Source organism: Homo sapiens, chromosome 18 (genome assembly GCF_000001405.40).
Source record: "Homo sapiens chromosome 18, GRCh38.p14 Primary Assembly".
Classification (NCBI taxonomy): Eukaryota; Metazoa; Chordata; class Mammalia; order Primates; family Hominidae; genus Homo; species Homo sapiens.
In genome coordinates, this window is record NC_000018.10 from 21,612,251 (window position 1) to 21,635,354 (window position 23,104).

Sequence of the window (23,104 nt, forward strand, 5' to 3'; positions counted from 1 at the left end):
AAGAGAGTGCGGCCCAGCGCAGCCTCGGCGTTTCCGCCATGCGCCTGCAGTGCTCCGCGCGCTCTTGACGTCCGGAGCCCCTGGAGTAGGCGCTTCCGGCCATTCATACTGCAGTCGGTCAGTGTTCGGTTGAAGGATTCTGTGTGCTGTCGGACCCAGAGGGTGACGGCGCCGCTAGGATGAAGCTCGTGAGGTGAGGGAGTGACCAAGCAGCTCTGGGGGCTGTGAAGGGAGGGCTTGGCCCGGAGTCCGGAAGGCTGGGCTCTCCCATTTGCAGGAGGCGGGAAAGCCGCGTGTGCGCGGCCTGCTAACGGCCGGCCTTACTGCGCCCGCAGCTCGTGCTCGGGCCTGGGCTTCCGCCTGGGTCGCTCGCGGATCCCGCGTGTCTTCCAAGAGATTGGTATAAAGGCCGAGCCTTTTCTTCCTGCCTAGTGACTTAGAGGCTTTAAAGATGCAGCGCCTCCTGGGACACATCTCCCTCTTACAGTTACTCATTTTCTTTTTGAGTGGAACTCCCCAGTCCTGCTTAACAGTACTTAGAAAGCTGTATGAGCTTATCTGGAAACAAACCTGTTTGCAAAATATTTTAAATCAGAGAAGGACTTCCGGCTTCACAAGTTTTTGTTTTTTTAAATAAAGATGGTGTCTCACTTTGTTGACCAGGCTGGTCTCGAACTCCTGGGCTCAAGCTTTCTGCCCGCCTCGCCCTTCCAAAGGGCTGAGATTACAGGTTTGAGCCACCGTGCCCGGCCGATTTTTAAGTTTACCTTTTTATCCTCCTTAGATTTGTGATTGATTATTCCACCTCTATTTCCCTTTAAGGTAGGCTTTTTATTTAGGAAAATCTCCCAATATAGGGCAGAAATTATCACAACGTAATTGTGGCTGATTACTCAGATAATATATAGTTCTCCTGTTTTATTTCTTAAGAAATAAATAGACCCTGTCAGTTAGGTGAGTCTTCTGAAAACTTGTTTGCTGATGTGAATAATTCTAAACTACCTGCAAGTAGATTTGGTTTTGGTGTTTTTCCTTGAGACTAAGCCTGGAACAGAGGCAGACGTTTCTAATAGCTAAGCCAGCAATTATAAATATTTAGCTTGTTTTTTTCCTGTTGAGTCAAGGATTGTCAATATCCGCTAAATAGTTATTGGGCACCTGTTACATACTAGGCGCTGGTAATAGGATTTTTTAAAAGGCAGAGTACCTGCCTTGTTGGAGTTTTCTGGTTAGTGGGGATGACAGACAAGTAGATAACGTCTGAAGTAACGTTTGTTTGAAACGTTTTAAATAACACATAAAAGCCTTCAACACTCAGGGAGGAGGCCAGGCGCAGTGGCTCACGTCTGTAATCCCAGCACTTTGGGAGGCCAAGGCGGGTGGATCACTAGGTCAGGAGTTCGAGACCAGCCTGACCAACATGGTGAAACCCCGTCTCTACGAAAATTACAAAAGTTAGTGGGGCGTGGTGGCGCGCGCCTTTAATCCCAGCTACTCAGGAGGCTGAGGCAGGAGAATCGCTTGAACCCAGGCGGCAGAGGTTGCAGTGAGCCGATATCGTGGCACTACGCTCCAGCCTGGGCGACAGAGCGAGACTCCATCTCAAAAAAAAAAAAAAAAAAAAAAAATTATATTCAGGGAGGAGTTGGTACAAAAGACATTTAAGGTTAATTTTTGGTATATTTTTATTTGAACTATAACTTTGGATAGGAAGTCATAGAATTTAAAGTGCATTTTTTAGGCTGGACGTGGTGGCTCACGCCTGTAATCCCAACACTTTGGGAGGCTGAGGCAGGCGGATCGCCTGAGGTCAGGAGTTCAGGACCTGCCTGGCCAACGTGGTGAAACCCATTCTTTCGAAAAAATACAAAAATTAGCCGGGCATGGTGGCGGGCGCCTGTAATCCCAGCTACTCAGGAGGCTGAGGTAAGAGGATCACTTGATCCTGGGAGGTTGCAGTGAGCTGAGATCGCACCACTGCACTCCAGCCTGGGCAACAGAGTGAGACTCGGTCTCAAAAAAAGAAAATTACATTTTTTGAAATTTCTCCATACCTGCCAATCTGAATCTTAATCCACTCATAGTTCAATTTTGTGTAATACACCTTGGATTCCATTTGTTCCCTTTAAAGATACTGCATGTTATGACAATTTTCCAGTAATTTTTAATACCTGTACTGAATCCTGTTTTGTGTCTTAGGTAAAATATAGAAACAAATTTTTTTTCTTACCAGAGAATGTATTTTTCCTCCAGAAAATGATTGTTTGACTAACTGGTTTGCATTTTCAGTAGATTTATTTCTGTATCTCAGTTGGCAGCATTGTCATCCTTATTCTCACTGTCACCCTAACCAAAAACCTGGGAGGTGAGCTTGACTTTTTCTCTCCTGATGTCCTTGACATTTGATACATTGCCAATTTTGCCAGTTTTACCTACTTCATAAAAGTGACCCACATTATCCTGTTTGGTTTTTGGGTTCAAATAGTGTGTTTTATACTGAGGGACACTGTGTTACTATTTGATATCCAAGTTTCACTAAGTGGAAAGAATTCAGACAGTGAAAGATTCATCTGAAAATAATTTGAATCCATTTGGTTCCTGGGCTCAGTTAGGGAGGGATAATTGTGTATTTGTCCTGCCCATAGTAGCCTTTCATTCCAGTCACCACCATTAAGTTCAGGCCCTTTTTATCCCACTCATGGATTTTTGTTTTCCTTCTTTAAGGTAAATATCTTATACAATGAAATGCAGTGTATATTTCCTGCTATTGAAAAATGTAAACACTTTTGTAACCTAAACCCATATCAACAGAAGTAACATTACCAAAACCTCAGACAGTTTCCTCAAGCCTTTCCCAGGCAACCTCTGGCTCCATACCCCTAGATGCAACCAGTTTCTTCCACCAGAAATGAATTTTGCCTGCGCTAGAATTTCATATATTTGGAATCACAAAGTATTTTTGCGTAAAACTTCTTTTAGTTACATGTTTTTGAGATTCATCCACATTGTGAAGTGTATCAGTAATGTGTTCATTTTTATTACTGGATATTAGTGCATTGTGTGTTTGGAAGTTCTGTATTTTAGGCCGGGCGCAGTGGCTCACGTCTGTAATCCCAGCACTTTGGGAGGCCGAGGCGGGTAGATCACCTGAGGTCAGGAGTTTGAAACCAGCCTGACCAACATGGTGAAACCCCATCTCTACTAAAAATACCAAAAAAGTAGCTGGGCATGGTGGCAGGTGCCTGTAATCCCAGCTACAAGGGAGGCTGAGGCAGGAGAATCCCTTGAACCCAGGAGGTGGAGATTGCAGTGAGCTGAGATCACGCCATTGCACTCCAGCTTGGGCAACAGAGCGAGACTCCGTCTCAAAAAAAAAGAAAAAAGAAAAAAAAAGCTCCGTATTTTAAAAAATTACAAGAAAATAAAATAAAAAGTTATGTATTTTGTTTACAACTACGTTGAATATTCTTCAGGTTTTTGGAGGGAAACAAATTTTCGTGGGTAAATACTCGAGTGGAGTTGATGGACTGTAACATAGTTATGTGTTTAGCTTTTTAAGAAATTTCCAGACCATTTTCCAAAGTGGTTGTACCATTTTACACTTCCATTAACAATATATTAGAATAACAATTGGTCCACATCCTCACCAGTATGTGGTGTTGTTTGCTCAGTCTTTAATTTTAGCCATTTTAGTGGGTATGTAGTGGTATCTCCTTAGGGTTTAGTCGGTTTTTTGCTTATTTGTTTGTTTTTGAGGCGGAGTCTCACTCTGTCACCCAGGCTGGAGTGCAGTGGCATGATCTTGGTTCACTGCAAGCTCCGCCTCCTGGGTTCACGCCATTCTCCTGCCTCAGCCTCCCGAGTAGCTGGGACTACAGGCGCCTGCCACCACGCCCGGCTAATTTTTTGTATTTTTAGTAGAGACGGGATTTCACCGTGTTAGCCAGGATGTTCTCAATCTCCTGACCTCGTGATCCGCCCGCCTTGGCCTCCCAAAGTGCTGGGATTACTGGCGTGAGCCACTGCGCCCAGCCCAGAGTTGTAGAAATTAGATCTGTGTCCTGGATACCAGTTCTTTGTCAGATGTGTTTTCTCTCAGTGTGTGGTTTACATGTTCATTTCCTTAATAGTGTCTCTCTTCTTGTAGCTCAGGCTGGAGTACAATTGTGCGATCTCAGCTCACTGCAACCTCTGCCTTCCAGGTTCAAGCGATTCTCCTACCTCAGCCTCCCAAGTAGCTGGGATTACAGGCGCCTGCCACCACGCCTGGCTAATTTTTGTATTTTTAGTAGAGACAGGGTTTCACCATGTTGGTCAGGCTGGTCTCGAACTCCTGACCTTGTGATCCACCCGCCTTGGCCTCCCAAAGTACTGGGATTACAGGCGTGAGCCACCATGCCTGACTGATCGATTTTTATGTATCTGGAACTCTTTAAGTCTTTTTTTTTTTTTTTGAGATGGAGTCTTGCTCTGTTGCCAGACTGGAGTGCAGTGGCGCACTCTCGGCTCACTGCGACCTCCACCTCCCAGGTTCAAGTGATTCCCCTGCCTCAGCCTCCCGAGTAGCTGGGACTACAGGCATGTGCCACTATGCCTGGCTTATTTTTTTTGTATTTTAGTAGAGATGGGATTTCACCACTTTGGCCAGGCTGGTCTCGATCTCCTGACCTTGTGATCTGCCTGCCTTGGCCTCCCAAAGTGCTGGGATTACAGGCGTGAGCCACTGTGCCCAGCCTATATCTGGAACTCTTGGGCTCAAGTGACTATCATCCATCTTGGATTACTTTTGGAAAATGGTGTTAGTGGTCCAGGTTCGTTTTTTTTCTGTATGGATTTCCAGTTATTCCAGCATCATTTGTTGAAAACACTTTCCTTTGCCTGTTACACGTCTTTGGCACCTTTGTAAAAAATCAACCATATAAGGCCAGGCTTGGTGGCTCATGCCTGTAATCCCAGCACTTTTCGGAATCCAAGGCAGGCAGATCACCTGAGGTCAGGAGTTCGAGACCAGCCTGACCAACATGGTGAAACCCCGGCTCTACTAAAACAAAAAGAAATACAAAAATTAGCTGGTTGTGGTGGCGAGTGCCTGTAATCCCAGCTAAATCAACCATGTAAATGTGGGACCAGAAATAGATCTGTTTGCTTGTATTGTTTCATTGATCTATTTGTTGTTCCTTATGTCTCGATTACTGTAGTTTTAACTTGTATATGTACTGCTCTAGTCACATAATTTGTCTTCCTAGAGATTATACTTTGGTCTCTTGTCTTTCTAAAATCTGTTTCTGAACATTGGCCCTAGGTTCTCTTTTAAATGTGAATATGAGCCTGGTACTCCACTTCATTGATGAAAATCCTTCAGTAGCTCTCCTAGAGGAATTCTTTAACAGAGCTTAGGCTTTCCATGAAAGGAACCTGCCTAACTCCTCTCTACTCATAGGACCTAAAATATTGAACTTAACATTTCATCGGCCAGGCGTGGTGGTTCATGCTTGTCATCGTAGCACTTTGTGAGGCCGAGGCAGGCAGATCACTTGGGCCAACATGGTAAAACCCCGTCTCTACTAAAAATACAAAAATTAGCTGGGTGTGGTGGCATGCGCCTGTAGTCTCAGCTACTTGGGAGGCTGAGGCACAAGAATCTCTTGAACCCGGGAGACGGAGGTTGCAATGAGCTCAGATTGAGATTGCGCTATTGCACTCCAGCCTGGGCAACAGAACAAGACTCCATCTTTGTATCTATAATTACTCTGTGTCTTATGCTGTATTTTTTCTTTTGTTTCTTCTTGCTGCATATTTCCAACTTTTCAGGCTTCTTACTAGGAGTCCCCTAATACCTGACTCCCCTCTCCACATGCTACAATATATTCTTAGTAAAAAACCTGTGTGTAGCTGGGTGCAGTGGCTCACGCTTGTAATCCCAGCACTTTGGGAGGCCAAGGCAGGCTGATTGCTTGAGCTCAGGAGTTTAAGACTAGTCTAGGCAACATGGCAAAACCACATCTCTACAAAAAATTTAAAAATTTAAAAAATATTAGCCGGGCATGGTGGCATAGTCTCAGAAAAAACCTAAACTAAAAACCTCTGTTTAAAAAAAAACACAAAAAAAACCTCTGTATATCTTTATTGCTTTCTACAACTTAGTTATTTTTACGTATCTTTTATGTATCTGAGCCACCGCGCCTGGCCACATAAGGTTTTTTTTTTCCTTTTATTTATCTTCTTTGCTTCCAAAAATGATTTGAAGAACTTTTATAGTAAAAGTTCTTACTAACTGGGATAGTAAATTCGTGTAAAAGATAAAAACAAAAACTTGATAATGGGAGGAAACCATTAGTTCAGAATTCTAGGCTTTTCTAGTTATAATTGATTGTTAAATTTGGAGCTGAATAACTCTCTGGTGAAATAAAGTGTTACCAATTCGTTGAGAAAAACGTTTTCTTGATGTCATATATAAAAAGAGATTCAACTCATGAGTCTTCTTAAAGTTTGAGGCTTGTTATATCCCAGACCAAGTAATTTCTTTTTTGTGATGGCTGTCTATACCACTAAAAAAAAAGAAATTAAAAAAAGGCATTTTAAGGTTGGTTTCCCTTTATTCATTAAAACATTTCAGCCAACATTATTCAGTGCCTATTACAGTCTAGGATTAGATATAGAGCTTACGATCCCTACCCTCAAGAATAGTCTAGTGCGGGAGGATAATAGGTTATCTTATGTGTACCATTTAGTGTGATGATAGGATCTGTTAATTCAAAGTATATATTATAGACTAAAAGTTTTTATATGAACTGTGTATTGTATGATAGTGTGGGGTTCATTTTCTTAGATGTGATTGTGAGATTATGGTTATATAGGAGAATGTCATTAGAAAATGCATGCTGAAGTGTCGTAATGCCTACAACTTACTTTGAGATGGTGTGATCAATTTTTTTTCGTTTGTTTTTTTGACAAAGTCTCACTCTATTGTCCAGGCTGGAGTTTAGTGGTGCAGTCTTGGCTCACTGCAACCTCTGCCTCCCAGGCTCAAGCAATTCTCCTGCCTCAGCCTCCCCAGTAGCTGGGATTACAGTCAAGTGCCACCAAGTCTGGCTAATTTTTTTGTATTTTTAGCAGAGACGGGGTTTCGCCATGTTGGCCAGGCTGGTCTCGAACTTCTGACCTCAGGTGATCCGCCTGCCTCGCCCTCCCAAAGTGCTGGGATTACAGGGATGAGCCACCACACCTGGCGAAGACTGTCTTTAAAAAAAAGGGCCAGGCCTGGTGGCTTACGCCTGTAATCCCAGCACTTTGGGAGGCCAAGGTGGGCAGATCACCTGAGGTCAGAAGTTCGAGACCAGCCCAACGGGTGAAACCCTGTCTCTACTAAAAATACAAAAATCAGCCAGGTGTGGTGGCAGGCGCCTGTAGTCCCAGCTACTTGGGAGGCTGAGGCAGGAGAATTGCTTGAACCCAAGAGGTGGAGGTTGCATTGAGCCAAGATCATGCCACTGCACTCCAGCCTGGGTGACAGAGCGAGACTCCGTCTCAAAAAAAAATAGAATTTTAAAAAAAGACGGAGTCTTGCTCTGCCACACAGGCTCCAGGGCAGTGACACAGTCATGGCTCATTGCAGCCTCAAAGTCCTGGGCTCTAGCGATCCTCCCACCTCAGACTCCGAGGAGCTGAGACTACAGGCATGAGCCAACAGGCCCAGCTAATTTTTTTATTTGTATTTTTTTCGAGATGGAGTCTTGCTCTGTCACCCAGGCTGCAGTGCAATGGCATGATCTTGGCTCACTGCAACCTCTGCCTCCCAGGTTCAAGCGATTCTGCTGCCTCAGCCTCCTGAGTAGCTGGGATTACAGACCTGCACCACCACACCTGGCTAATTTTTTGTATTTTTAGTAGAGATGGGATTTCACCATATTGGCCAAGCTGGTCTCCAACTCCTGACATTGTGACCCGCCCACCTTGGCCTCCCAAAGTGCTGGGGTTACAGGCATGAGCTACCGCACCCGGCCAACTAATTTTTTTTTTATTTTTATTTTTGTAGAGACAGGATCTTGCTTTGTTGACCAGGCAGGTCTCGAACTCCTGGCCTCAAGTGATCATCCCACCTTGGCCTCTCAAAGTGGTGAAATTACAGGCATGAGCCACTGCACTGGCAATTGACAATATTTGTAAACCCTTTAACTTTTCATCCTCTGCAAAATTTTATAAAAAGGGGAGAACGGAAATTTAGATGAAGTGAGAAGTGGATAGATTGTTCATTATATATTATCAAGGCAACTGGCTATTCAGTTGGGGAAAGTAATAAAGACAGATTTGTGCCTTACACTGCATAAAAAAGATCAATTCCAAGTAGATTAGAACTCTAAAAGTAGAAGAAAATAAGACACTATTTTTTTACAATCTTGGCATAGAAAAAACCCTTTCTTAGGTAAATTATGTATCCCAGGAGGGTGAACAAATTCAAAACATAAAAGTGAAAAAAGTTTGTGTGACTAAAGAAACCATAAACAACAAACTTGAATGACTGGCAAACCAGTAGAAAATAAAAGAAAAACTCAACCTAATTGAGAATGTCAATAATGTGAACAGGTAATTCACGGAAGAAATAGTTTTCCCATGTTAATGAAAAGATATTCAGGCAGGGCGCGGTGGCTCATGCCTGTAATCCCAGCACTTTGGGAGGCCGAGGCGGGTGGATCACGAGGTCAGAAGATCAAGGCCATCGTGGTTAACATGGTGAAACCCCGTCTCTACTAAAAAAAAAATACAAAAAATTAGCCAGGTGTGGTGGCGAGCGCCTGTAATCCCAGCTACTCGGGAGGCTGAGGCAGGAGAATGGCGTGAACCTAGGAGGCGGAGGTTGCAGTGAGCCGAGATTGTGCCACTACACTCCAGCCTGGGTGACAGAGCGAGACTCTGTGTCAAAAAAAAAAGATAAGATATTCAATCTCACAGGTAATTAAGGAAAAGCAAATTTTTTCCCCATCAAATTGACAAAAATTTGAAAGACTTATAGCAACTTGTGTTGGTGAGGGTTTGCATAATTGGGTTTGTAATGGGAAAAAATTGAACCAAAGTAATGTCCGTCAACAGGCGGTAATAAATTTTGACATTTCCATATAGTGGAATACTTTCCAGTTCTTAGAATGTTATTTTGTTATTTTGGCTTTTTGTGAGATGGAGTCTTGCCCTGTCACTCAGGCTGGGGTACAGTGGAACAATCTCACCTCACTGCAAATGCTGCCTCCCGGGTTCAAGCGATTCTCATGCCCCAGCCTTCCAAGTAGCTGGGATTACAGGCGTGCGCCACCTTGCCTCGCTAATTTATTTTTATTTTTTTTTAATTTTTTTTGAGATGGAGTCTTGCTCTGTCCCCAGGTTGGAGTGCAGTGGTGCGATCTTGGCTGACTGCAATCTCTGCCTCCCAGGTTTAAGCGATTCTCCTGCCTCAGCCTTCTGAGTAGCTAGGATTACAGGCGTACGCCATCCTGCCCAGCTAATTTTTGTGTTTTTGTAGAGATGGAGTTTCACCATGTTGGCCAGGCTGGTCTTGAATTCCTGACCTCAGATGATCCGCCCTCCTCGGCCTCCCAAAGTGCTGGGATTATAAATAGGCATGAGCCATCACGCCCAGCCTCAGTTCTTAGAATGTTTTGTATGTTGAAATGGAAATATGTCCAATATAAACTGCTAAACGAGGACTACAAGTTATAGACGTGAATAAAATATGACCCAATTTATGTCAAAAGAAATCTGTATATATCCTTCTGAATGCATATAAAGTGATCTGGAATAATATTCCTACATACCCACAGTGCAGGGGGTTAGGAAGGGAGATTTTTACTTTATAGGCATTATAATAAGCTTGTAATCTTTTTACCGACTGTAATTCTTTATTTCTTTTTTTTTTTTTGAGACGGAGTCTCGCTCTGTTGCCCAGGCTGGAGTGCAGTGGCGTGATCTCGGCTCACTGAGAGCTCTGCTTCCCAGGTTCACCCCATTCTCCTGCCTCAGCCTCCCGAGTAGCTGGGACTACAGGTGCCCGCCACCATGCCCAGCTAATTTTTTGTATTTTTTAGTAGAGACGGGGTTTCACCATGTTAGCCAGGATGATCTCGATCTCCTGACCTCGTGATCCGCCCGCCTTGGCCTCCCAAACTGCTGGAATTATAGGCGTGAGCCACCACGCCTGGCCTATTTCTTTTTCATGGTTTATAATGAGTCTAAGATCTTGTATGTCTGGATTTCAGGTTTGAGAATTAGAAACGTCCAAATGACAGTTTATGTTAGTATTGTTGTGTTCCTTCATAAAGGTTGAGGATATAATTCAGGAAAGCTGAAATTGTTATGCAGATTATTGATAGGAATTGATGCAGATAGCATCTAGCAAATTTTCAACATCGAGTTGTTTCACCCTTTCACCTTAATAAATGTGATTTTAAAGTGTTACAGGTAAAAATGGTTTTATTCCTATTTATAGATTTTTGATGAAATTGAGTCATGAAACTGTAACCATTGAATTGAAGAACGGAACACAGGTCCATGGAACAATCACAGGTACGGAGGTTGGACTGCTTTTATAACATTTTTTTTCTTCTCTTTTACCTAGCCAGAGTTTATTTTTTTATTGCTTAATGAACATTATTGTAGTACAAATCCTTATTTTTTTTGTCTGAATTATGTAATTTTTTTTTTTTTTTTTTAAACAGTTTTGCTCTGTCACCTGGGCCGGAGTGCAGTGGCACGATCTCAGCTCACTGCAACATCCGCCGCCTGGGGTCAAGCAATTCTCCTGTCTCAGCCTCCCAAGTAGCTGGGACTACAGGTGCCTGCCACCATGCCCGGGTAAATTTTTTTTTTAGACGGATTCTCACTCTGTTACCCAGGCTGGAGTGCAGTGGCACAATCTCAGGTCACTACAACCTCTGCCTCCCGGGTCCGGGTTGAAGCAATTCTCCTGCCTCAGCCTCCCAAGTAGCTGGGGTTATGGGTGCGTGCCACCACACCCAGCTAATTTTTTATATTTTTGGTAGAGACGGGGTTTCATCATGTTGGCCAGGTTGGTCTCGAACTCCTGACCTCATGATCCATCTTAACAAAAGCAGTAACAATTCTTATATACAGAGAGAAGCAGAAACAAAGGTGAGGATAGTTTGGTGGAATGGGGATTATGAGGAAGTTACAAAGACAGTGGGAGAAACATGAAAGAAATACCTGTCACATCAGTAGTGAGCCTAAAGCCCAGTCAGGGTTCTTCCATGGCTTGCTGCATTCACTTCTGTAAGCAAAACATTAGTGTGCTAGGAAAAATCTCTAGGAAGGAAACACTGCTGACATTCCCCCATTTACCAGTTGCACATGTGCTAAATTGTGTCATAGAAAACTTGCACTTTGTAGAAGAACAGTAATCTTTTGTAGTCCAGTATTTACTGTGGCTCAGTAGATTAATTAGTTGCCTTAACTTGTATCATACTAATAACTGCACAATTATTTTCCTCTTTAGGTGTGGATGTCAGCATGAATACACATCTTAAAGCTGTGAAAATGACCCTGAAGAACAGAGAACCTGTACAGCTGGAAACGCTGAGTATTCGAGGAAATAACATTCGGTATTTTATTCTACCAGACAGTTTACCTCTGGATACACTACTTGTGGATGTTGAACCTAAGGTGAAATCTAAGAAAAGGGAAGCTGGTAAGTTTGAAGGATTATAAACATTTTTGTGAATGCTAATCCTAATCCACACTATTCATAATATAGATATTATTTGCAAACAACACAAGTGTCTTTGTTGTTTAATATTTCCTATAGTATGTATAGTAATTCTTGGTGTTGCTATTAAAAACATTGAGCAACCGGACGCAGTGGCTCACGCCTATAATCCCAGCACTTTGGGAGGCCAAGGCGGGTGGATCACGAGGTCAGGAGTTCAAGACCAGCCTGGCCAACATGGTGAAGCCTCATCTCTACTAAAAATATAAAACTTAGCTGGGCATGGTGGCGGGTGCCTGTAATCCCAGCTACTCGGGAGGCTGAGGCAGGAGAATCGCTTGAACCCAGTAGGCGGAGGTTGCAGTGAGCCGAGATCTCACCACTGCACTCCAGCCTGGGTGACAGAGCCACTGTCTCAAAAAAAAAAAAAACCAAACAACAAATATCGATGTGGTCGGGCAGGGTGGCTCACACCTGTAATCCCAGCACTTTGGGAGGCCAAGGTGGGCAGATCACCTGAGGCCAGGAGTTCCAGACCAGCCTGGTCAACATGGCGAAACCCCCTCTCTACTAAAAATGCAAAAAAAATCAGGCGTGGTGGTGCGTGCCTTTAGTCCCAGTTACTCGGGAGGTTGAGGCAGACGAATCACTTGAACCTGGGAGGTGGAGGTTGCTGTGAGCCAAGATCACGCCACTGCACTCCAGCCTGGGCTACAGAGTGAGACTTTGTCTCAAAAAAAAAAAATATATATATATATATATGATTGTAATCCATAGCTTGAAAAACAATGATTTAATCTCTCTCTCGGTCCTTTATCTCATGCTGCTTTCCACTTTAAAAAAACCCCCTGTGGGTACCAAAATCTACAGATTCTTAAGTCCCTTTTCATAAAATGGTAGTAGTGTTTCAGTGCACATCCTTTTGTACCCTTTAAATCATCTCTAGATTACTTGTAATACCTAGTATAATGTAAATGCTCTGTAGATAGTTATACTGTATTGTTTAGGCGTTAATGACAAGAAAAAGTCTGTATGTGTTTAGTACAGATACAACCATCATAGGCCTAAACTACATTTTTGATCCTCAGTTGGTTAAATCCATGGATGTGCAACCCATGGATATTGAAGGCTGGCTGTATTTTCAAATCTGAGGATGTTTTGCTTTAATGTCGTTAGGGTTATTCTACATTTTTTTTTTTACTACCTACCTACCTGTCGGGGAATTGATGATTGAAAGCCCCCCGCCTCATATCATCTTACTCCACGCTTCTGAATCTTAGATTTTTCAGAAGTTATTCTTCCTTTACTAAATGTTACAGTTCCCAGTCTACTTTCTATTTAAAATTTTGTTGAAAAAAATTTTTTTTTTTTTTTTTGAGATGGAGTTTCGCTCTTGTTAGCCAAGCTGGAGTGCAGTGGCAGGATCTCAGCTCACTGCAACCTCTGCCTCCTGGGTTCAAGCGATTCTTCTGTTTCAGCCTCCCAAGTAGCTGGGATTATAGGTGTGTGCCACCACACCCAGCTAATTTTGTATTTTTAGTAGAGGTGGGGTTTCATCCTGTTGGTCAGGCTGGTCTCATACCCCTGACCTCAAGTGATCCACCCGCCTCGGCCTTCCAAAGTGCTGGGATTACAGGCAGGAACCACCGCGCCCAGCCGAAATCTTTTTTTGAGATGGACTCTCACTCTGTCGCCCAGGCTGGAGTGCAGTGGCGCGATCTCGGCTCACTGCAAGCTCCGCTTCCCGGGTTCACACCATTGTCCTGCCTCTGCCTCTCCAGTAGCTGGGACCACAGGCGCCTGCAACCACGCCCGGCTAATTTTTTGTATTTTTAGTAGAGACGGGGTTTCACCGTGTTAGCCAAGCGGTCTCGATCTCCTGACCTCATGATCCGCCTGCCTGGGCCTCCCTAAGTGCTGGGATTACAGGCGTGAGCCACGGTGCCTGGCCCAAAATCTTTTATCTACTGTGTTTTCTCTGCTTTTCTTTGTTCCTCTGGGTAGTTATCATTTTTGTTCCTTTTCTATCATAAATACTATTTCAGAAGAAATTGAAGGTAAGTGTGGTCAATTTGGCCCATTTTAACGTGTTCTAGACTTACAGTTTTTGTGTGTACACATTTAAAATAGTACGGTTTAAAATAACTGAAATTGGCCAGGTGCGGTGGCTCATGCCTGTAATCCCAGTACTTTGGGAGGCAGAGGCGGGCAGATCGCCTGAACTCGGAAGTTCGAGACCAGCCCGGGCAACATGGCATGAACTTTGTCTCTACTAAAAATACAAAAATTAACCAGGCATGGTGGCAGATGCCTGTAATCCCAGCTACTCGGGTGGCTGAGGCAGGAGAATTTCTTGAACCCAGAAAATGGAGGCTCCGGTGAGCCGAGATTACGCCACTGCACTCCAGCCTGGGTGACAGAGTAAAACCCTGTCGCCAAAAAAAAAAAAAAAAAAAAAGGAAACTACAACAAATTAAATAATGAAAATGAGTCTTCGTTTCAAGTTTGTCATAGTCTAGTGTTAGGGAGTTATTTAAAAATTATTGGTTTGGGCCAGGTGTGGTGGCTCACGCCTGTAATCCCAGCACTTTCAGAGGCTGAGGCAGCTGGATCACAAGGTCAGGAGTTCAACACCAGCCTGGCCAATGGTGAAACCCCATTTCTACTGAAAATACAAAAATTAGCCAGGTGTGGTGGCGGTCACCTATAATCCCAGCTACTCGGGAGGCTAAGGCAGGGAATTGCTCGAACCTGGGAGGCAGAGGTTGTAGTGACCCGAGATCGCACTACTGCACTCCAGCCTGGACAACAGAGAGAGACTTGGTCTCAAAAAAAAAAAAAAAATTGTTTTGTTTGTTGTTTGTTTGGTAAGAGACAAGATCTCACTGTGTTGCTCAGGCTGCAGTGAAGTGGCATGATCATAGCTCACTGCAGCCTCAAACCCCTGGCTTCAGGCTGTCTTCTGCGTTGGCCTCCCAAATGTTTGGATTTTTTTTTTTTTTGAATAAACATTTATTTTCTTTCTTTAAAAAAAAAAAAAAGAAGCAGCAGCTGGGCGCGGTGGCTCACGCCTGTAACCCCAGCACTTTGGAAGGCCGAGGCAGGTGGATCACCAGCCTGGCCAACAGAGTAAAACCCCATCTCTACTAAAAATACAAAAAAGTAGCTGGGCGTGGTGGTGGGCGCCTGCAGTCCCAGCTACTCGGGAGGCTGAGGCAGGAGAATCGCTTGAACCCGAGAGGCGGAGATTGCAGTGAGCAGTTGTTTTCTTAATTTATCTTTCTTTTTTACAGATATGCACCACCAAACCTGGCTAATTTTTTATTTTTTATTTTTTTGTAAAGACAGGGTCTCCCTATGTTGTCCAGGATAGTCTTGAACTCTTGGTCTCAAACAATCCTCCTGCTGTGGCCTCCCAAAGTGCTGGGATTATAGGTGTGAGCCACCATCATACCTGGTCCATTTTCTTTTCTTGGGTTTTTTTTTTTTTTTTTTTTTTTGAGACAGAGTCATGCTCTGTTGCCCAGGCTGGAGTGCCATGGCGCGATCTCCACTCATTACAACCTCTGCCTCCCAGGTTCAAGCAGTTCTCCTGCCTCAACCTCCCAAGTAGCTGGGATTACAGGTGCCCAGCCCTTTTGTTGTTGTTGTTGTTGTTGTTTTACAACACCCCTCCAACTCTGTTTTTCCCATTTTCTTTATTTTTTTAAACACTTCATTTTGAAATAATTTTAGACACAAAAAGTTGCAAAAATAGTACAAGGAATTCCCATACACTTTTCACCAAGATTGTCTAAATGTTAAAATGTCATATAACTACAAAAAATTAGAAATTTTACATTGATGTGTCACTACTGTATTATCTAGAGACCTTTCTCACATTTCTCTGATTGTCCCTTTAATGTCCTTTTCCTGGTCCAAGATCCAATCCAGTACAACAGGTTGCATTTACTTGTACGTTTCCTTAGTTTCCTTTAATGCGTATCAGCTGGTTCTCCTCAGTTTTCCTTTTGTGACCTTGATACTTTGTAAGAGTACGGGCCAGTTATTTTGTGAAATGTCCCTTAATTAGCATCTTAAACTTACTATTTATTGCTTAGAATGGTAAGACTAGAATCAGTGTGTACAAATTTCTAATGTGGCCAGGTGCGGTGGCTCACACCTGTAATCCCACCACTTTGGGAGGCTGAGGCTGGAGGATTGCTTTGGCCCAAGAGTTTGAGAGCAGCTTGGGCAACAAAGGGAGACCTCATCTCTACAAAAATTTTAAAAATTAGCCAGACATGATGGTTTGTACCTGTAGTCCCAGCTACTCAGGAGGCTTAGATGGGAGGATCACTTGAGCCCAGGAGTTCAAGGCTGCAGTGAGGTGTAATTACACTCCAGATGGGACTACAGAGTGAGACCCTGTATTTAAAAAACAAAAACAAAAACATTTAGAATGTGACTGACTTCTATGTCAAGATTTTCTAATATTCTTAGCTGTCTGAAGATGAAATAAGTTTATTTGGGTCATGAATTCCCTATCACCATGATACTCAACTAGAGTTAGGATGACCCAGTAGGGATATTACTATTTGGATTAAAGCACTAGATTATGTGTAGGTCAAATGAGTTTTAATTTTCTGAAGAGTTAATAAGATTGTGATTTGATGTAATACATTTAAACTTTCCTGGTTTTGAATTAACTTGCTTGGATTTTATTCAGTTACCAAAACTCTGGCATCAAGGTGATCATGTTTTATTCTGTGATATATATCTTCCCTTTTTTTGTGAGGTTCAAATCATTTTATGGTGAATTTGAGACATGATATAAAGAAAAAGTATTTTTAAATTTGACACATTTCTTAGTAAATAAATTGAAATGAAACAAATAATAATCTCCCTAGGCCTTTAGTTATTGGTTCTGCATGATAATGTGTTGGGGGGTGGAGGGAATCTGAAGTCTAACACATTTAACAGAAGCTAGTTAAACTTTATTTACTGTAGCTACTAATAAAGAGCTATAAACAGGGAAAGGTGTGTGTGTAAATGTTGTTTGTGGTGTCTAGGTAACATTGGTGCAGGAGAGAATTGAACTTGGTTTGTTTTTCTTTTCCTTCAGTTGCAGGAAGAGGCAGAGGAAGAGGAAGAGGAAGAGGACGTGGCCGTGGCAGAGGAAGAGGGGGTCCTAGGCGATAATGTCTCTCAAGATTTCAAAGTCATATGAGATTTGGGATATTTTTTGTACAGGTTGTGTTTGTTTATGTCAGTTTTTAATAAACATAAATGTGGGACAGAGCTGTCTATTTAGTATATCAAAGTTTTAGTAGTTTCCTCCACATTCACGAAATTACCACAGTGAGAGCTAAGCATTTCTACTGGGCAGTTTCATTTTTAGTTGATCAGGTTTTAAGTTTTTGAACTAAAATTTTTCTTTTTCTTTTTATGATGAATAAGGTTAAAATAAAAGCCTTAGACAAATTAAATTTGGCAGAGTTTAATTGAGCAAAGGACAATTCACAAATCAGGTAGCCCCTGAACCATAATAGGCTCAGAGGCTTCAGCCCAGCTGCATAGTTGAAGATTTATGGACAGAAGGAAAGTGATGTATGGAAAATGGAAGTGAGATACAGCAACAGCCGGATTAGTTACAGTTCAGCGTTTGCCTTATTTGAATATGGTTTGAACAGTTCGCTGTCTTTGGTTGGCTGAAACTTAGTGATTGCCACAAGAGTAGGGTACCGTCTGTTTACACGTCCAGTTAGGCTACAGTTCTATGTACTGAGAAACCTTTAAGCTGAACTTGAGATATGTAAAGAGACTTTAGGCTAAACTTAACAATATATATAGGATATATACCCTTCTACTTCACATGCACTGAATATGCATTTTATTGCTTTACTCTTCATTCTGTGGCACCTACCCACAGGGGAAGTAAGAAGTTTGTTTTGGTATTTCGGAAACTAAAGTCCTTATGGGATGGGGTCTAGAATTGATTCTCCTTTCCTGAGTTTTACTCCACGGAGTCTTAGGTACCTGGTAAAAAGTTGTCTTCTAAATTAAGGGTCATTGCTTTGTTGTCTAGCTGCTAATGTCTTACTTTTGTTTCTTTTGCTTTTTAATCAGTTCTTAATAGGATATAGTTTTATGTTTTCCAAGTTATAACTTGGAGTTAATGGTCACTAGATTATCAGTTATGAGCAGTGTTAAAATCTCCTATTAATGTGTAATGTACCTGTCAGTGCCTCCTTTATTAAGGGGTTCTTTGAGAATAAAAGAGAAAAGACCTACTTTATTTGACAGCAAAACTGTTCTAATTGTTAATAAGGACTTTTAAAAATTGTTTTTGATTTGCTAAGCTCAGAAAAAATGTCTCTCAGTGCATCAGTTCTTTGTAAAGCTTACTACGAAGTATTTATATGCTAAGGAAAACAACTGAGGATGTGGGTGGCTTAAATCTGTATTTTCATCATGTATGTGAGTTTTTTTTTTTTTAAGTAAAGAAATTTTCTGCAAAGATCGTTACCTTAAAAAAGTTTAGCCTGGGTGTGGTGGCTCACGCCTGTAATCCCAGCACTTTGGGAGGCCGAGGCAGGTGGATCACGAGGTCAGGAGTTGAAGACCAGCTTGGCCAAGAGGGTGAAACCCCATTTCTACTAAAAATACAAAAGTTAGCCAGGTGCAGTGACAGGCGCCTGTAATCCCAGCTACTCATGAGGCCGAGGCAGGAGAATTGCTTGAACCCAGGAGGCGGAGGTTGCAGTGAGCCGAGATTGTGCCACTGCACTCCAGCCTGGGCGATGGAGTGAGACTACGTCTCAAAAAAAAATCGAGAGAGAGATATATATATGTATTTATATATATATGTATTTATACTAATATATAAATATATACTAATAGATATATTAGTATACATGTAGAATGTACCTGTCATATATATTAGATATATAAATGTATATATTGGTATAAATAAATACTAGATATATATTTTTTTAAGTATCTTACCTCATCAAGTAAATTCAAATGCTTTTTGATTTTTCCACAGTTGATAATTTTTTTTTGTAAGTCATTGAAGTTATATAGTAATTAGCGTTTTTTCCCCCACAAATTATTGGCAGTGGTCACCCAGTTGTATTACAGGTTCTATGATCCAAAAAGGGATGTATGAAATTCATGATGATTAAGACAATTTTTTCTTTCTTTCTTTTGAGACAGAGTCTTGCTGTGTCACCCAGGCTGGAGTGCAGTGGTGCGATCTTGGCTCACTGCAACCTCTGCGTCCCGGGTTCAAGAGATTATTGTGCCTCAGCCTCCAGAGTAGCTGGGATTATAAGCGTGCGCCACCACACCCAGCTAATTTTTTTGTATTTTTAGTAGAGACGGGGTTTCACCATGTTGGCCAGACTTAAGACAATTCTTTAATAGTAAATATATTAAAGGTGAGTTGGCTTGACAAGATACAACCAATATGTAATTTTTCTCCACACGTTTTTTTTTTTTTTTTTTTTTTTTTTCTGGAGACAGTCTTGCTCTGTTGCCCAGGCTGGAGTACAGTGGCGCGATCTTGGCTCACTGCAAGCTCTGCCTCCCGGGTTCAGGCCATTCTCCTGCCTCAGCCTCCCGAGTAGCTGGGACTACAGGTGCCTGCCACCACACCCAGCTAATTTTTTGTCTTTTTAGTAGAGACGGGGTTTCACTGTGTTAGGATGGTCTCGTTCTCCTGACCTCATGATCTGCACGAGGCCTCCCAATGTGCTGGGATTACAGGCGTGAGCCACCGTGCGTCCCCGGCCTATACCTTTCATTAATTAATAAGCTGGGGGAATAAATAACTGGATTTCATTCTTTTCCATCTTCTGACCTGTTGGTGCTCCTATTGCTTGTATCCAAGTAGAAGGCAAAAGGCAAGAGACCCCTGTAATGCAGCAAGTGGAGAGATTTGTTGAAGGGGTCAAACAAAACCCTGCAAGAGTAGGAAATAAACAGTTGGCTCCTGTCCTCGTGGAGCTTATAGACAGAAGCAGATAACAAATAAAAATTGGAGCTTAGTGCCGTGGTGCACACTTGTAGTCCCTGCTACTGGGGAGGCTAAGGCAAGAGGATCGCTATAGCCTGGGAATTTGAAGCTGTAGCGTGCTATGATTGCAAGCAGCCTGGGTAACCTAGTGAGACCTGGCTCTTAAATTTAAAATTTAAATGAAAATGGCCACTTAGCATAAGAGATCTAAAATTACGTTTTGTCCTGGCATGGTGGCTCATGCCTGTGACCTCAGCACTTTGGGAGGCCGAGATGGGCGAATCACTTGAGGTCAGGAGTTCGAGACCAGCCTGGGTAACATGGTGAAACCCTGTCTACTGAAAATACAAAAATTAGCTTGGTGTGGTGGCGGGTGCCTGTAATCTCAGTTACTCAGGAGGCTTAGGCAGGAGAATCACTTGAACCCTGGAGGCAGAGGTTGCAGTGAGCTGAGATCACACCACTGCACTTCAGCCTGAGTGACAGAGCGAGACTGTTTCAAAAAAAAAAAAAAAATTTGTTTTGAGAGTTTTTGTGTCTAGGATGTTTGCAGTGTGAAGCCAGTCTAGTAACAGTTTAAATGTAATAATAAATCACAGTGGGTACTAGATTGAGTTTATTCCACTAGAGGTCATTATTTCATTTCCATGTGAAAGGGCTAAAATTGGGTGAAGAAAAAGCTATTTGAACTGATTACCATCATTTGCTATAAAGGAAGCATTATAGTATGAATAGAAAACAGACTAGAGTTTAACATGCTTCTCTTGACCCCTCTTCACCACCCCCTAAAAGGCAGATGGGATCTTAGGACTGCAGCATTTTGTACACATCTGATATTTAATGAGATGTTACATATGAACTTTAGTTTTTTTTCTTTTCTTTTCTTTTCTTTTCTTTTCTTTTTTTTTTTTTGAGACAGAGTCTAGCTCTGTCACCCAGGCTGGAGTGCAGTGGTGCAATCTCGGCTCACTGCAAACTCTGCCTCCCGGGTTCACGCCATTCTCCTGCCTCAGCCTCCTGAGTAGCTGAGACTACAGGTGCCCACCACTATGCCCGGCTAATGTTTTGTACTTTTAGTAGAGACGGGGTTTCACTGTGTTAGCCAGGATGGTCTGAATCTCCTGACCTCGTGATTCGCCCGCCTCGGCCTCCCAAAGTGCTGGGATTACAGGCGTGAGCCACCGCGTCCGGCCGAACATTAGTTTTTAAAGAAATGTATTATGAATATAGATAGAAAACCCAAAGTGAAGGAATAGAAAATGAAATATCAGTTTCTTTTAATCTATCATAATTATGTGAGCATAACTTAGTATTTTGAAATAGATTAATGTAGTCAGCAAACAATTCATGTATTACCTATAATAGATATCATACATATAACATTTAATAACATACAGTTCTTGTTCCTGAAGACTTAACCTAGAAAATAACTCCATAACAAGAAGAATCTCTGTCATAATAAACCAACAGCAGACATTTTCTAAAGGCATTAAAAGTATATCTGATACTGGCCTTTATTAATGTGAAATTCTTGTGGATCTGTGAAATAAAGAGGAGTACTTTCTTTTCGTTTTTTTTTCTTTTCTTTTTTTTTGAGACAGTCTCACTCCTTCATCAAGGCTGGAGTACAGTGGTGCGATCTTGGCTCACTGCAACCTCTGTGTCCCGGGTTCAAGCAATTCTCGTGCCTCAGCCTCCCGAGTAGCTGGGATTACAGGCATGCACCACCACACCCAGCTAATCTTTGTATTTTTAGTAGAGACAGGGTTTCACCATTTTGGCCAGGCTGGTCTCTAATGCCAGACCTCAAGCGATCTGCCTGCCTCAGGCTTCCAAAGTGCTGAGATTACAGGTGTGAGCCACTGCGCCCAGCCAATAGGAGTACTTTTGAAAAGGAAGATAAATTTTTTTTTTTTGAGACGTAGTCTTGCTCTGTCACCCAGGCTGGAGTGTAGTGGTGCAATCTCAGTCCACTGCAAGCTCCACCTCCCGGGTTCATGCCATTCTCCTGCCTCAGCCTCCCGAGTAGCTGGGACTACAGGCACCCACCACCACGCCTGGCTAATTTTTTGTAGTTTTAGTAGAGACGGGGTTTCACCGTGTTAGCCAGGATGGTCTCGATCTCCTGACCTCGTGATCCGTCTGCCTCAGCCTCCCAAAGTGCTGGGATTACAGGCGTGAGCCACCACACCCGGCTGATAAACTTTGTAATACTAAGTTCTTTCTGTGTGGGAACATAGTAGTGTTCTCTATCTGAACCAGCTTTTCTTCTCAGTGAAGTTTTAGGGTTTTGTTTACGTATTCCATATATTTTGAGAAATGTTAATATACAGTGAGATTCAGTTTATGAAGAAAATAGTAATAATAGCAAGGCTGTAGATACCCAGTGCAGTCAATTCTTGGAATTTTCAGTAGTTGTGTAAAGTTGCTGTTAATACTAAACCACTACTTCTAGGGAAAATATAGGGTTAAGTTCCTGCAAGCCTCTAGTCACATTTTCATCAACCAACCAATACATAACCTTGTTTTATGAGTGTTTCTGTTTAGAGACATATATAGTAGTATATGTAATACATATATACTACTGATTTGTTAATTCATGGCTAGCAGCACTAACTCATCCATGAACAAAGCTTATCTAACACTTATTTTCTCAAAAAGGCACATCATAGCCTTCTTGAATTTAGGAACACGACAGCACTAAACCTGGGGGCCATTTTAAATGTCTCAAAAAAAAAAAGAACAGTTAAACAGGCTTGTTTAGGGTCTTTGCCATCCCACAACACACGCTGCCTATGCACAACTAGTGTTTTCCTACTTCTGTGGCTTTGTGCTTGTCTTTCCTCTTCCTGTAACATCCTCACCTTCCCAAGTTCTCTGTGTTTGTCCTTAAGAATCCTGTATCATTATAGCTGAAAGACATTACAGACCATCTAGTCCTTGCCTTCTGTTTTCAAGTTGAGCAAACTGAAGCTGACAGAGGTGGAACTTATTTGCCCAAGGGCCACAATAAGCCACTGGTGTCTGGAGGATGCACGGGCTCTGTGCTTTTCCTACCTCCTAGGATGTATTCCCCAGTTGCCCTCCTTCACTCCCTGTCACAGTCACTGATGGCTTCCCTTTGTGTGGGTTTTCTCTGTGCTAAGCTGTTCTGTACTACTCAAATGCTATTCAGCATATATCCTTAAGTCTTGCTGTCTTGTTCAGTTTGTCTCCAGCCGATTTTAATATTTTTAGGGTAGAAATCTTTTCTTCTTTTCTTCCTTTTGTATTCTCCATTATGTGTCTCCCTCCCTCCCTCCCTTCCTTCCTCTTCCTCTCTCTTTTTTTTTTTTTCTTTTTTTCTTTTTTTTTTTAGACGGAGTCTCACTCTGTTGCCTAGGCTGGAGTGCAATGGC

General features: G+C 42.4%; 1 protein-coding gene across 2 annotated transcripts, besides 1 other annotated feature; it reads left to right on the forward strand.

Annotated features, from left to right (window-relative positions):
* On the forward strand, positions 64 to 21,270 carry SNRPD1 (small nuclear ribonucleoprotein D1 polypeptide). 2 transcript variants are annotated; one of them, NM_006938.4, is made up of 4 exons: positions 64 to 193; positions 10,475 to 10,551; positions 11,498 to 11,689; positions 16,812 to 21,270. In NM_006938.4, the coding sequence occupies exons 1-4, from the start codon at positions 180 to 182 to the stop codon at positions 16,886 to 16,888; spliced, it is 360 nt and encodes a 119-aa protein (NP_008869.1). In that variant the 5' UTR covers positions 64 to 179; the 3' UTR covers positions 16,889 to 21,270. The 2 variants fall into 2 exon arrangements, with proteins under 2 accessions (NP_008869.1, NP_001278845.1); NM_001291916.2 differs by having other exon boundaries at positions 11,621 to 11,689.
* Positions 123 to 212: an enhancer, noted in NCBI's record as "active region_13136". NCBI's record gives its function as "activates an Ori minimal core promoter by ATAC-STARR-seq in GM12878 lymphoblastoid cells {active_cell/tissue: GM12878}" and the evidence as "EXISTENCE:reporter gene assay evidence [ECO:0000049][PMID:35858748]".
* Positions 21,271 to 23,104: the final 1,834 nt, after the last annotated feature.